The 13,985-nt window shown below is 49.5% G+C and overlaps 1 protein-coding gene across 13 annotated transcripts in view, besides 1 other annotated feature; it reads left to right on the top strand.

Moving 5' to 3' along the window:
- Positions 1-13,316, top strand: part of GAS7 (growth arrest specific 7) — a 288,001-nt gene extending 274,685 nt beyond the window's left edge. For all 13 annotated transcript variants that reach the window (NM_201433.2, XM_011524044.4, XM_047436955.1 and 10 more), the window contains 3 exons: positions 4,217-4,296; positions 5,823-5,921; positions 6,581-13,316. In NM_201433.2, the coding sequence (NP_958839.1) occupies positions 4,217-4,296; positions 5,823-5,921; positions 6,581-6,694 (293 nt within the window). In that variant the 3' untranslated portion in view covers positions 6,695-13,316. The remainder of the gene's footprint in view (positions 1-4,216; positions 4,297-5,822; positions 5,922-6,580) is intronic.
- Positions 12,256-12,425: an enhancer, noted in NCBI's record as "experimental_47676 CRE fragment used in MPRA reporter constructs". NCBI's record gives its function as "activates a minimal promoter by MPRAs in K562 erythroleukemia cells, with activity observed for both the introgressed and non-introgressed 17:9814899 variant alleles {active_cell/tissue: K562}" and the evidence as "EXISTENCE:reporter gene assay evidence [ECO:0000049][PMID:34662402]".

Genomic DNA, 13,985 nt, shown 5'->3' with positions numbered 1-13,985 from the left:
TTGTATGATTGTACCCAAATTTGTTTCATCATTCCCTTAACTGAGGTTTAGGACTCTTAGATTGTTTCAGAGTGCTTGCCAGCCAGTGAAGCTGTGTTATTGTACCTGCATCTTTGTGTGTGCCTAAGACCAGATCTGCATATAGAGAGAATATAGTTGCTGAGTCAAAGGGTATTATTCGTCTTGATGGATATTTCCAAATTGCTTTCCAGAGAGAGCACCTATCAACAGCATCTATGAATAATGCCTGTTCTCTAAATGCTTATCAACATTGTGTGTTATCAAGATTTGAAATTGGTAGTGAGTGGGGAAAAATGATATTTTGTTTTTAATTTGCTTTTCTCCATAACCCAGGTTGAGTATGTAAAATATACATATAAATCATTGTTGTACTTTCTGTGAACTGATTAACTCATATCCTTTCCCCACTGACCATAGATTCTTTATCTATCAGGGAGATGAATCGTTTTTCATTTTAATTGCAGATATTTTTCCTAGATTGTCATTTGTCTTTTAGTTTTGTTCTTTGTAATTTTTTTTTTTTGCTTGTTTGTCTATTTTTTCTTGCTGTTTTTCTGTACAGTGATATTTCCCATAAGAAGCCTAGATTTCGGAGCTGATTTAGATCTTTTTTTTTAATCACCTAGAGGGTTTTTTCTTACTTTTTTTTTTTGTTTCAGGTGTTTATTTTTGTTTTTGTTTTTAAAATAGTGAAGGCCGGCCGTGGTGGCTCACGCCTGTAATCCCAGCACTTTGGGAGGCCCAGGCGGGCAGATCACGAGGTCAGGAGTTCAAGACCAGCCTGGCCAACATAGTGAAACCTCGTCTCTACTAAAAATACAAAACTTAGCTGGGTGTGGTGGTGTGTGCCTGTAATCCAAGCTACTTGGGAGGCCAAAGCAGGAGAATCGCTTGAACCCAGAAGGCAGAGGTTGCAGTGAGCTGAGATCGCAGCACTGCACTCCAGCCTGGGCAAGAGAGTGAGACTCTGTCTCAAAAAACAAAACAAACAAACAAACAAAAAAAGACAGTGAAATATGTAACCCACCAGACATTTATTTTTCCTTACACTGGTGGTCTAACCATATTCCACAGGTTCTTATTTGTGGTGGTTTTATTTCTGCTATTTTCATTATGTTTTGCTATTTGGGTTTTCATTTGATCTTCGAACCAAGAATTGTTTCAAAGAAAATCTTTATATGTTTACAAGCAAGGGCTTTGTTGTTGTTTTCTAATCTTGCTATTTTTTTTTACATAGTTTTATTGCATTGTCATCAGATAATACGGTCTCTCATTCCTGTAGTTTGGAATTATTTTGTGACGAAAGTGACAGTCCTTAGACCTAACTCTGAAAAATACCGCCTCTTCTGAGCACTCGCTGTGGCCAGCCTCCATGCTTTAGAGCATTGTCTCTTTTGATCAGCACAGTCCCCCTGCAGGGAGGTATTTTTATACCCTTTACAAATGAGAAGACTGATGGCAGAGAAAATGAGAACCTTCCATGAGGTCCACAGTGGTGGAGCGGCGAAGCCACAATTCAGTCTCCTCTCATTCCAGAGACTCTGCTTGTCGCCATTTTGCTGGACAGCCTGTTGCTCAGGAAATGCCACCTGTTCTTTCCTTCTGTTCCTTTCCTCCCTCTTCCTCATCTTTTCCAAGGCTACTAGAAGGAAAGACATCAGATCCTCAGGGATCATCATCATCATCATCATCATCATCATCATCTTCATCACCACCATAGCCCATATTAATATTTGGCTCTCTACGCCCATCTCTATTCTAAGTGCTTTACATATTTTGACATATTTATTCCTCATAACAACTTGGTAAAGGTACAATCGTTATCTCCATTTTACAGATGAAGACACGGAGGCAAGCGCAGGATAACCGACTTGTCTACGATTACATAGCTAATAAGTAGTTGAGCTGGGATGACAACAAAGGCTTTTTTTTTTTTTTTTTTGAGATGGAGTCTTGCTCTGTCGCCCAGGCTGGAGTGCAGTGGTGCGATCTCTGCTCACTGCAAGCTCCGCCTCCCTGGTTCATGCCATTCTCCTGCCTCAGCCTCCCGAGTAGCTGGGACTACAGGCGCCTGCCACCACGCCTGGCTAATTTTTTATATTTTTAGTAGAGACGGGGTTTCACCGTGTTAGCCAGGATGGTCTCGATGTCCTGACCTCGTGATCCACCCGCCTCGGCCTCCCAAAGTGCTGGGATTACAGGCGTGAGGCACCGCGCCTGGCCAACAAAGGCATTCTTGTCCCACAATCCATGGTCTTAACCAATACTGTTCTAAAAAGTTCCAATTTCAAGCTCTTGGGCTGCCATAGAGAGAAGGTACAGCCCCCTTCACCTACTCTGTTTCCCAATGCTGTGGAAGTTCCTGAAGCAATTTCTCAAAATCAGCATTGACACACAGGGCTCAGGGAGTTTCACAGTGTACAGAGCAGCACGCCGCCCTCCTCCTCGGCCAGGCAGGAGCTCTTGCTAGAAATGCATTTGCATTTCGGAGGCTGAGGCGGGCGGATCACAAGGTCAGGAGTTCGAGACTAGCCTGGCCGATATGGTGAAACCCCATCTCTACTAAAAATACAAAAACTAGCCAGGGGTGGTGGCGCATGCCTGTGGTACCAGCTACTCGGGAGGCTGAGGCAGAAGAATCACTTGAACCCGGGAGGTGGAGGTTGCAGTGAGCCGAGATTGCGCCACTGCACTCCAGCCTGGGTGACAGAGCCAGACTCCGTCTCAAAAAAAAAAAAAAAAAGAAAAAAATGCATTTTACGGTGCAGCATCCACTTTCTTCTCTCCGGTTCAGTGCCTCTTGGGATCAAGGGTCCAGTCATTGGCCTTGGACCAAGAACAAAATGAATAAATGCCTTGGTGTGGGCTCTGTTATTCAAGGCACACTCGCGTCTGGTGTGTGGCATAGCTAGGGGTATGGTTCGCAGCTAGGCCTGGGGCCTGGAGACATAACCTTCCCTGTTCTCTTTGACTTTCCTATCAGAGTACCTATGAGCCACAATGATGATACTATAGGAGTCACTTTGACTCTACTCGAATTACTAAATTCTACTCTAGCATTCTGCTTCTAGAATTACTAGAGAAAATTACTTCACTTTGGGGTTCACTCATGAGCTTTTTCCATCGTGAGCAAACACCATGATGCCTTCCTCTTGCTGGAGCCCTGTGAGGATGAGGAAGCTACGCTGAGACAAAGCCGTGCATGAGAGCTGTGCTGCTCTGCCTGCCACGTGCACACACATTACCAGAGCGTCTCATAAACATGCAGTCTCTGATTCAGTAGGTCTCGGATCTGTCCTGGGTTTCTGAATTTCTAGCCGACCCCAGGGCATACAAGTGCCACTGGCCCACAGACTGTGATTTGTGTAGCAAGGTTCCAAGGTGCTGGTACGCTTAGTAATGTTTGCAATTACTTCGCAGTGTGTTTTCTTTCTAATTACAAAATGTTCTAAACATACATATGATAACAAAGTAATAGAGTAGTCCTAAAGATTGAATAGTTATGTTTGCCTCGGATCTTTCTGTGATGACATAAAATGCAATAGAAGGAGCTGATTCCTGCCCACTCACCCTTTCTCTGTTTCCCAAGGTAGCCACTCTCCTGAAGCTGGGGTGTGCTCCTCCAGTGCATGTTTTAGACTGTGACTACAGATGCGTTCTTTTGTGTTTCAGAAGGACATCTTGCAGTGTGTTCATGCACACACACACACACACACACTTACATGATCTGCAAATTTATCTTCCTTAATTATTCTTAGCACCAAATTGTGTGTGACATGTTTTAACCAATCTGGACTCCCCAGTGTAAAATAAAACTGCCATCTTTAGAGAGGGAAGCATTTCTTGGGCTCATGATAGGATTGGGGGTCCTAGGAATACCCTAGACACACACACACACACACACACACACACACACACACACACACACACAAAATGAGAACCACCATCCTGAATCCTTGGTATCTGGGGTCAGGCTTCAGGGGGACACCTGAGCTGGGTTCTCATGGGGCTGGGTTGCCCCCTTCCTTCCCTGGCTCTGCTTTCTTCTTCTTCCTACTGCCATCCCTTTTCCAGCTTTCCAGCGGCCACCATGACCCCAGGGGGAGGAGAAGGCTTGGCTGTGGGGCTCAGGGTGGGGCACAGAGTCATGGTGAGGATAGGATGCTTCATGATGGTGACTGTGGTCTTTTTCCAGGAGACGACCTCATGCGCTGTGTGGATCTCTACAACCAGGCCCAGTCCAAATGGTTTGAAGAGATGGTGACCACCACATTGGTAAGCGGGCAGGGATGTGTGGACATGGCAGTACAGAGGCTGACACAGAGCAGCCCCTGGTGGTTGTTGGTGGGCGCGGGGATGATGGGGTGGAGTGACCCTGGAGATGGTCATCAAATCTACTTCAGTGTTGGGGTCGAAACCTCAATGTGAGCCAGCTTATGTGGATTCAGATCTCTGCTCCAGCGCTTCCTAGCTGTGTGGATGTGGGCAGGGTTGGGTTGGATATGGCTACATCCTTCTTGGGCTGTCCCCTGAGAGGTCAGGGTCAACTGAGGACTCTCCTCAACTAAGTGGACAAGGGCCTCTTTAGGAAAAATAGCCAAGCTATAGGAAGAGAGGACCGCCCCACACATGCACACACACGAGTTGCAGGTCCTTGGTAGGAGATCCTTGCAAAGTGGATGGATGGGTGAGGATGGAGCTAGGCAGTGGGGTGGGGGAGGCCTCTCACCAAGGGTGAACAACAGGCGGCAGGGCCGATGATGCTCTTGAGTATTTCTTGTAAAGGGGCAGCATCTCCTTATCAGTCAGCACCTGCCTGAGTGGACAGTGAAGTGTGGCTGGTACTTGGGCCAGATGGGACAGGAGGCATCATGCCAGGTGCTCATCGGATCAGCCCACTGCCTAAAGCCACCCCTGTCCATCCAGCACAGGACTAACCAGCTGCCTTCCCCAGGTGTCAGCCCACCAGAGCAGATTAGAGGCCTCCACCAGGGACAGTGACCTAGTTTTCCTCCTGGTTAATCTCCTAATTAAGCCCCCTGCTTTACCCCCCTTTCTGATTAATCACCTGGGCAGTGACCTAGTTGTATGCAGAGTAACAGCCGGATCCCCTAGATTCCAAAGACACAAAACCATCTAGAAACCAGAGGACAAACCCTTTCCACGCTCCCCTTTGACAAAAGCTGTGCCACGTGCAGCCCAGTCTGCCTCCCTGGCCCGGTCTCTATTGCGGCCACAGCACTAGGCATAGGCAGAGGAAGGGAGGCTGCTCAGCAGAGGCCCAGGGACAAGGTCCCAGGAATGTGTGGCATGGAGCTCCCACATGTGCCCCCTTGTTATACCCCATCAGGGCACCAGGGCCAGGGCTGCATGGGTGCATTGCCATGAGTAACAGCCTGATGGACTCTGGTTTAAATCCTGTTCCTCCCATAATTCCGTGTCGCTTTGGGTGAGCTGTGTTGTTGCCTCTCTAGGTGTTAGTTCCCCAGTTCCCTTGCTTGGAGAATGGGGATAATAACAGAAACGATCTCTTAAAATTGTAACGAGGACAGTTAAGGAACGCACGTAAAGCCCTCAGCACTGTGCGTGGCGGAGCAGGATTTCAGGAAGTAAAACAGCCGCTGCTGCTGTCATCAGCTTCACCTTCACCTTAGATATGGGGCACGCTCTTCATCAGACCCCAGAGAGTCAGATGGGACAGAATGTCCACAGCCAGTGACTTGCGTTTTGTGGTCTTGGTGGGGGGACCCCCAAGTGGAGGGGACGTGCTCAGAGTTCTCTGGCCTTTGCTTTCTCGGCAGGAGCTAGAGCGGCTGGAGGTGGAGAGGGTAGAGATGATCCGGCAGCACCTGTGCCAGTACACGCAGCTGCGGCATGAAACAGACATGTTCAACCAAAGCGTGAGTTTCCAGCCCAGCGGGGCTCCCGGGCGACACGGGGCCTGGGGAGAGCCGCCTGGCGCTAGGCCGTGGCAGGTTAAGTGGCTGCTGCAAGTGAATCTGCCCTAAAGGCGGGCAGTGGGCAGGTGCTCTGGCCTGGGGGTGGCCTCGTGGACTGGGCCTCTCAGGATTGTCCTGGACGTCTGTGTGATTCCGACCCTGGCACATGAAGTGGACACACACGTGAGCTGTTACCCTGAGGAGAAAGAAGCTCGTAACAGTTACAGTAGCTGAAGACATTATTAAATTTCTTAAAAAACAAAACCAAAAAAAACAACTTCTAGAAATATTCACAATACCTAAAGCTCAAGTTTTATTTGTCCTGTTCACTGGTGGTAAATGTGGGGTGGAAGGGATAGAGACAGGTTTTAAGGCCCTCCTGGCCTCTCATCCAGGCCTGGGGTCTGCAGGGTGAGAAGCAGGGTCGGGATGCATACTGGGTTCCCCGTTCACAGCCCTCTTCATGTGCTGTCCCTCAGATGGGCCTCCCCCTGGGGCCCCGGAGCCCTCTAGAGAGGCTGCTCTCAGAGACACTAAGGTGAGGACAGCATGTCTCAGAGGAGACCTCCCTGGCTTGGCCGCCGTCTCTAACAGTGTCGCATTTTCTCTGTCTCTTGCAGACAGTCGAGCCCGTGGATCAGCTGCTTCGAAAAGTGGACCCGGCCAAAGACAGGGAGCTGTGGGTCAGAGAGCACAAGACGGGCAACATCCGCCCTGTGGACATGGAGATCTAGATGGGCCTGTGCAGCTTCGGGGGGTCCTGCTGGGGAGGGGGGCTGGGCTCCCACCATGGGGCCCATGCCGAGTGGATGCCCCCCACCCTCTCTCCTGGGCCACTGAGGAGAGGGGAGAGAGCTGGTGATTCCAGAAGGGTGACCCGGACAGCCTAGCTGGGGGCTCCCCCATATTCCCAGGCCCAGAAGACAGACCCACAGCCCTGCCCTTGTCTCTGAGGCTGAAGACCCCCTGACTCCCATGCTGTGCTTGCCGCTCTGAAACAAACAGAGGCTGGAACTTTGTGGTCCTTGCCGAGTTTTGTAGGGGTCACTGTCACATGCTTGTGCCCTGGAAGCCCCAAGGCTCTTCCTCCAGCTGGCTCCCTTGTCTCCAGGGCTTTGGAGGATCAGGGTAGGGAGGGCTCTGTCTCTAAGCCAGGTGTCAGGATCAGAATCATGGGTAGAAGGTGCCATTCAGCTCACAGCCGCACCCAGAATCCTTTGCAGCCCTCCTTCTTTATTTTTTTCCCATTGCATTCTGGGAGTCCACATCTGGCTTTCTCAGCCACTGTTCATCACCAGGGGTTTTAGGAGGAAGGCTTGGCTCCTGTCTTCCCAGACCCACCATGCCTGGAGAGGTCAGGATGGAACTACCTCATTCGGCAAATTAGCCCCAAATTGAGCGCTGAATCGTGTCCCATGAGATCAGGCGCCATCTGTAAAGTCTCCTCTGGAAATGCCAATCCATCCTTCCCCCAGCTGCTTCCTCGGGGAGGCCCCTGCCCCCACCCTGCCAGCCCTTCCCAGTCTCATTAGAGGAAGCTTTCCAAAGTTCTCAGTTATCAAGACCTCATCCAGCTCGTCCAAAGGCTTCAGGGATGGAAACAAACCAGCTCGTCTCAGAGGCCAGCAAGCTGGGGCCTGTCCGCCACGGTGCCCTGTGCACCTTTGGGCTGCCCTGGCCCCCACTCTCCCGGGCCGCCCACCACAGGCTCTTAATGGGGCCGGGTCAGTCCTACATGTGAGATGGGTTAGGGCAAGTCTTTGCCATCCCCCAGATGGCTCTGTCTTCTTGTGTATGGCAGGGCTGGGACTGCTGTCCCTTGTACAGTTTTCTGTCACTGGTGGGCACTGGACAGGCATAGCAGACTCTCTTGTGGCCACACTAGGTTGTCGCCTTTCAGGCAGTGTCCCGCCACCTTTGCTTCCCGCTCCTTCTGGACATTCCAGAGCCCTGCACCAAACCCTTACTTGGTGTCTGCACCTCCTTTCCCTCTCTCCATCTTCCAATCCCTGGAAAAGTCTGGTCTGAGTGTGACTTGGGAAGCTTTCAGTGCTGCTGTTTGGCCCAGCTCATTACTTTCTCCCTTTCTCTACCACAGCAAACACATTCTCCACCATGTCAGTCTAAAGAGTCTAAAGGGGCCGGGAGAAGCATGAGCGAGGGGCAGATTCTAGTCGGGAGCCCATGCCCTGGAAATCCATCTTTCTTCATCTTTCCCATTGACCACTTTGGGTTTGACCTGCACATCTGCAGTGAGGGCAGAATTCAACAAGCACAACTCACTGGTCTTTCAGTCAACGTGCTAGAAACCGATGACTTATTAATCTCTAATTTTTTGGCGCCTCTTTCATTGAATGAGAATTGCTTTCGTATAGTTCACATTAGAAAAATGCCTAATATACTAAAGTAAACCAAACGTTGTCACTTTTCTCTTGTTCTTGAAACATTGCAACCAAAAAGGTCAGCACAAAGGCCTTCACCTACGTGAAGACCTCCTGGTAGGATCTGTCCATGGGATGGAGAACCACTCTGTCCAGATCTGGGGTTGGGTCATGACACCAGCTACCAATTTTAGAATATTATTTCTTGGTTTCTTTATGAAAAATGGGTGCTAGTGGTAATTGCTTTGTGGCTTAGTAAACTACTCTGTGGATGATTTCCAAACATTCAAAGCCAATAGCCTTGTTATTAACAAGATATTTTGAGTACAATATGGCTCATTGACTTTTCCATTACATCTGAGGATTCCAGAGTCCTCTGTTCATCCCTGGGATAGAGTGAGCCCTCTTGCGTCTTCCAGGGTAGCTCAGGTTGGCCCAGTTTGGGCCAGTCCATTTTTGGAGGTCACTCTTTCCCCCCTCATCCCCTCACCTCCTTCTCTTTACCCCCTTCACGTACTTCCTTTCTTTCTTCCCTCTGTTATTCATTCATCAAGCAGGTTAAAGCCATTGTGCTAAGATCTAATCTGAGGACACTATAATGGCCCTGTCGTCAGGGAAGCCCGTGATCGCTCGTTTTCAGGGGTCTTACCGGTCAGCAACCTTGGCATTGATACATAGGCACTCTACAGAATTTAAGTTTTCAGAGGTAAGTCTGTTGTTCTGATTAATCTGCATTCATTCAGCGAATGCTCAAGACAAGCCAGGCATGCTGAGAAGCGGCGCTCTAGTTGTATGTAAGATGGGCATTCCTCTGCTCTCCTCTATTCTCCATGTCGACTGAGAAGAGTATAATAAGAACATTGTACCCTCTCCACACTTAACCCTCTGGGATTCTTTATTATAATATAAACCACCGTCGTGAGGCATTTACCTGTTGGATGGAAGGTAGACAGCAACAAGATTTTAATCACCTGGTCACCAGACCCTCACGGCCCATATCCAATTCGAATTTCAGAAATTTCTCTGTTTGCTTTAAATAACTCTTTACAAATAAGGGTCGGGCACGGTGGCTCACGCCTGTAATCCCAGCTCTTTGGGAGGCCGAGGTGGGCAGATCACGAGGTCAGGAGATCGAGACCATCCTGGCTAACATGGTGAAACCCCGTCTCTGCTAAAAATACAAAAAATTAGCCAGATGTGGTGGTGCACACCTGTAGTCCCAACTATTCGGCAGGCTGAGGCAGTAGAATCGCTTGAACCTGGGAGGCGGAGATTGCAGTGAACCAAGATCGGGCCACTGCACTCCAGCTTGGGTGACAGAGCAAGACTCCATCTCAAAAAAATTATAAATAACTCTTTGCAAATAGGAAAGTGAAGCTCAAGGGTAACCAGTGAGGCTATGAAATTGCCAGTGAATTAAGACCAGGGCTAGAGTCAACAGTCCAGAACCCCTATCCGTATGAACAGGGGCCCGTTTCTGGTTGAAATCAAGGTTAGGATGCAACTGAGAAAATAAAAGACTGCACTTTGGAGAGGCAAGCACGCTATCCGGGTTGTTGTTTTGTTTTATGTCTTGGTGCTTAGGTGAGGACTTAGCTGGGTTTATTCAAAGTGGGCGGGTCTGGGCTATTCTTGAGAATGTCCCTTCCATTTCTGAGAACAAGTCAGCCCCTTCTACCTGCCTCCACCCAGGAGACTGATGCACAAGATCTGTTTGTGAAAGCCTGATTTAAAAAGAAAAAAAAAATTCCTTAAGCCAAATGGTGTTCCAAGTTGGTTGCTGTGACAACCTCCAGGAAGAGCCACTTGTTACCCTCTATTCTTTCTAGTGCTTTCAGTCAGTGGCAACACATAGGCCCCTTGGACCGTGGGGATGGCGGCCCTGAGATTCTGTCAGTGGGACCACCCTGGGCCTCCTTTCTACCTCCACTCAGCACCCTGTTGGCCAAGGAGAATTTCTGCGGTGGGAGGCAGTGCTCTGCTAGTCAGGATTGATAAACAGCTGGGCACACCGAAACAGTGTACCAACGAATTCACCAACCAGGGGTTTCTTTCCCTACCCTTTGTGAAAACCAATCAATTACTAGATGAGTGGATGGATGCAGAAAAATCTGGGCTGAGCCAAAGTCCCTTTTGGAAATACAAGCCATAACATTCGAAGGACATCAGCGACCTTGGCTTGTTTAGGTGATTTTACTTCCAGCTGCAGGTAGTCTTGACAAGGAGTGTTTAAACAGAAGGCTCAAGATGCATTCCTTGTGTAGGTCGGAGAGAGCACTTCTAATGTTAAGTGGGGTACAGATCAGCTGCCCCCCCACGTAGCCTGGACATCGTCTTATCCCCATAATCCTTGCCATCCCTACAAGGCCCATCGCCACCACCTTTTCCCAGGTTTATTGAGGTATGATTGACATCCAGTAAAATTCACCCTTTGGAAATATACAGCTCTGTGAATTTTGACAAATTTAGTGTCTTGTGACCATCACCAAGATCAACCTGTTTTTAACCCTCCAAAAAATTCCCTTCTCCTGCCCTCTTTCCCTGGCAACCCTGATTGATTATCTGATCCTATAATTTTGCCTTTTCTAGAATGTCATATAAATGGAGTCACACTGATGTCGCCTTTTGAGTCTGGCATCTTTCCCTCAGCTTAATGCTTTTGAGTCATTCATGATGTGTGCGTGTGGTTTGTTCCTTCTCCTTGCCGGGAAGTATTTCATTGCATGGGCGTACTACTCTGCTTCTTTATTTTTACACTGAGCCTTTCGCCCTGGAAGTTCTTGGCCCAGGGTCTTCAACTTGTTTGCACGACCACTTCCAGCTTGCTGCTTCCTTCAGTTCCCCAGGCTCCTCCTCCAAATGCCAGCTGTGCCCACAAGCTGTTCTTAGGGCTCACACTCGCCTTTTGGCGCGTGGTGGGTTTTTGGTAGTGCAGAAAGAATCCAGGGATGGGAGGGGAAGGGACGGATGGGTGCTCAATTGCTGCTCACGTCTGCTGCAACCTGAAGCTTGCATCTCAGCCAGCAGATCTGCTCCCTTCTGGGACCCAGGCTTCAGTGTCACACGGTCCTTGGCTATGTATTGGGCGTTGGAGGCTTTGAAAGGCGAGCAGAAGCAGCATGGACAAGAAGGCTGGGGCTGGCCCTGGGGCTCATCATGATGCTTTCCTGGATCTGTTGCTTCATCTGCAAGCTGAGGGTGTTTGTTCTAGATGAGTGTCTCAGGCCACCGGCAACTGCATGTACCTCCTCCCTTTCTCATTTCCAATGATGTACCCTGTACACGTGTTCATGCTGTGTCTGGCTCTCATCTGCACAATCGTGCATAGAATTGCCTCAAGTCCTGGTGAGAGAGATGCCGTGGTACTTTTCCATTTAGATTCAAATGGAGCTAAAATTAAGAGTTTTATGAGCTGTTAAGAATGAGGTAGTTTCTCCTAGGACCCCCCAAAGACAGTGCAAGTAATGACCGTTTGGATCTCATTCGTCGATCTTTGATAGTATGTTCTGGAGTCTACTCCCCAGGAGCCAGGACAGGCGTGAAGATGGAGTCCTTGTCGCAGCTGGAGCCTTGCCTAGCTGGTGATCACACAGCCTGGCCTGTACCTGCACCCCACTGGATGGTGGTACATGGTGGCAGGGACAGGACCACACCCAGTTAAGGCCAGACCAGGCTGAGTGTGACCCCTGAGGTAAACACTCCACTAAGCTGTGTCTTGTTCATGCCCCCTGCTCAGTGAAAGGTGAGTCCCGAGACCAGTTGGGTACCTCTCTATGCGAACCAGAGACATTTCTGGATCCAGGCCAGGTGAAGATTAGGGCCAGGAAGCCTGAGCCCCCGGGGCCTCAAGGTAGGGAGCCGAAGAGGCTGCCAGGACTCTGCTGGGTTGAAATTTGCCGGGGAGGACTCTTGTCTCCCCCTCAGGAGTATTTTTGTTGAGGCTTTCCTGGAGGTGAAGAAGCAATTCCCATTGCAGCAGGTTAGAGCGAGAATCAGACAGAGGGCAAAAACCAATTCGCTTCTCCCCACGTTCTAAATGCTGGGGCATGGCTGTCAGGAGGGCTTCCTGGGAGGTGTCTCTGGGGGTGGGGTGAGGTTGGGGCGATGGCCTTTGGAGATTGCGTGTGGTGTTCAGGACTGTTCCTTGGTGTTTGAGGGAAACTTTAGTGGGATTGCAGTGGAATGTAAGGTCAGGGCACGTGGGTGCTCTCTCGGGGTGGGGTGACTGGGAGACCTAGAGGGAAAGCCTGCTATGCAGGGGGAGAGCACAGGACTGGCCCTGCTCTGCGGCCTCCTTTGTCCCATAACCTGAAGTTAAGTCACATCCCCTGTCGGGACCTCCGTGCACTCATCTGTCAAGTGGGGGCGCTTCCCTTCCAGCATCACCTGCAGCAGACGGGCTCTCGGGAGTCGTGGGTTCCAGGCAGCTGTGTGGACCCAGGGACAGACATTCAAAGGGACGCCAGCCATCCTTAGTGACAGGGGCCCCAACTTAGCATCCCTTCCCTTCCGTTAGGAAGGAGATGACCGGAAGCAACCCCTTCACAGACACGAGCACATCGGCAAACCCTATGAAAGTGGAATTTTCTAACAAAATAAACTTGCTTGTTTGATCTGTTTTCTGTAACTTTTGCTAAATACTTTATACATTTTTCATGTTAAAGAGCCGTGTCTCCCGCCAGCACTCCTCACCCCGGTATGAATGTGTTTCCTCCACATTGTATATCCTTCCACCCTCTGGCTGCCTAGATCAGTAAATAAAATTGATGTAATATAATTTATAAGTAACACTGTTGAAACCCTGATCCCAGTGGAGGCTGTAACCCACCTGCCCCCGCACCACCCCCCTGACCCCTGTTACCGCATTTGTGTGTATTAATGCTGAAGAATTAAATGTTTAAAGAGTTTAAATTTTGAAGGCGTTTGCTATATACAGTTGTCCTGCATTATTATAAAGAGTTTTCAGGAAGTTAAATCCCATCTCGTTTTTTTTTTCTTCTGCTCTGTGTGTATCCTCGAGATGCCTAGATTCATCCCATGTAAAATAAACTGTCCAGAGACACTAGGTCCCCCTAGGCGACCCTCTTTCCTGGAGGGCTGCCACATTCTTCATGTGACCTGTCTTGGCATCCCTCCTAGGCTCTCGAGATTGGTGGTGATTTCACCTCCGATGACTTAGCGGGAGACAAAGGGCATCTGGACACTGGCACCCAAATGGATGCTATGCTCCTGGCCTCAGGCCCCTCCCCCTGGTGACTTCCTGTCTCTGTGGGTTCCAGCCCTTTGCCTCCCTCTCATCTCTGGAGCTCCTGGCTGTTTCTTTTCTCATCCATCCATCCATCCGTTCATTTATATATATATATATAGAGAGAGAGAGAGAGAGAGTCTCGCTCTGTCGCCCAGGCTGGAGTGCAGTGGCACAGTCTCAGCTCACTGCAACGTCTACCTCCCAGGTTCAAGCGATTCTCCTGTGTCAGCCTCCCGAGTAGCTGGGACTACAGGCACGCCCCACCTCAACTGGCTAATTTTTGTATTTTTAGTAGAGACAGGGTTTTGCCACGTTGGCCAGGCTGGTCTCGAACTTCTGACCTTAGGTGATCCGTCCTCTTCGGCCTCCCAAAGTGTTGGGATTACAGGCATGAGT

The sequence above is a fragment of the Homo sapiens genome, chromosome 17 (genome assembly GCF_000001405.40).
Source record: "Homo sapiens chromosome 17, GRCh38.p14 Primary Assembly".
Taxonomy (NCBI): Eukaryota; Metazoa; Chordata; class Mammalia; order Primates; family Hominidae; genus Homo; species Homo sapiens.
This window is presented reverse-complemented; position numbering and strand designations above follow the sequence as displayed.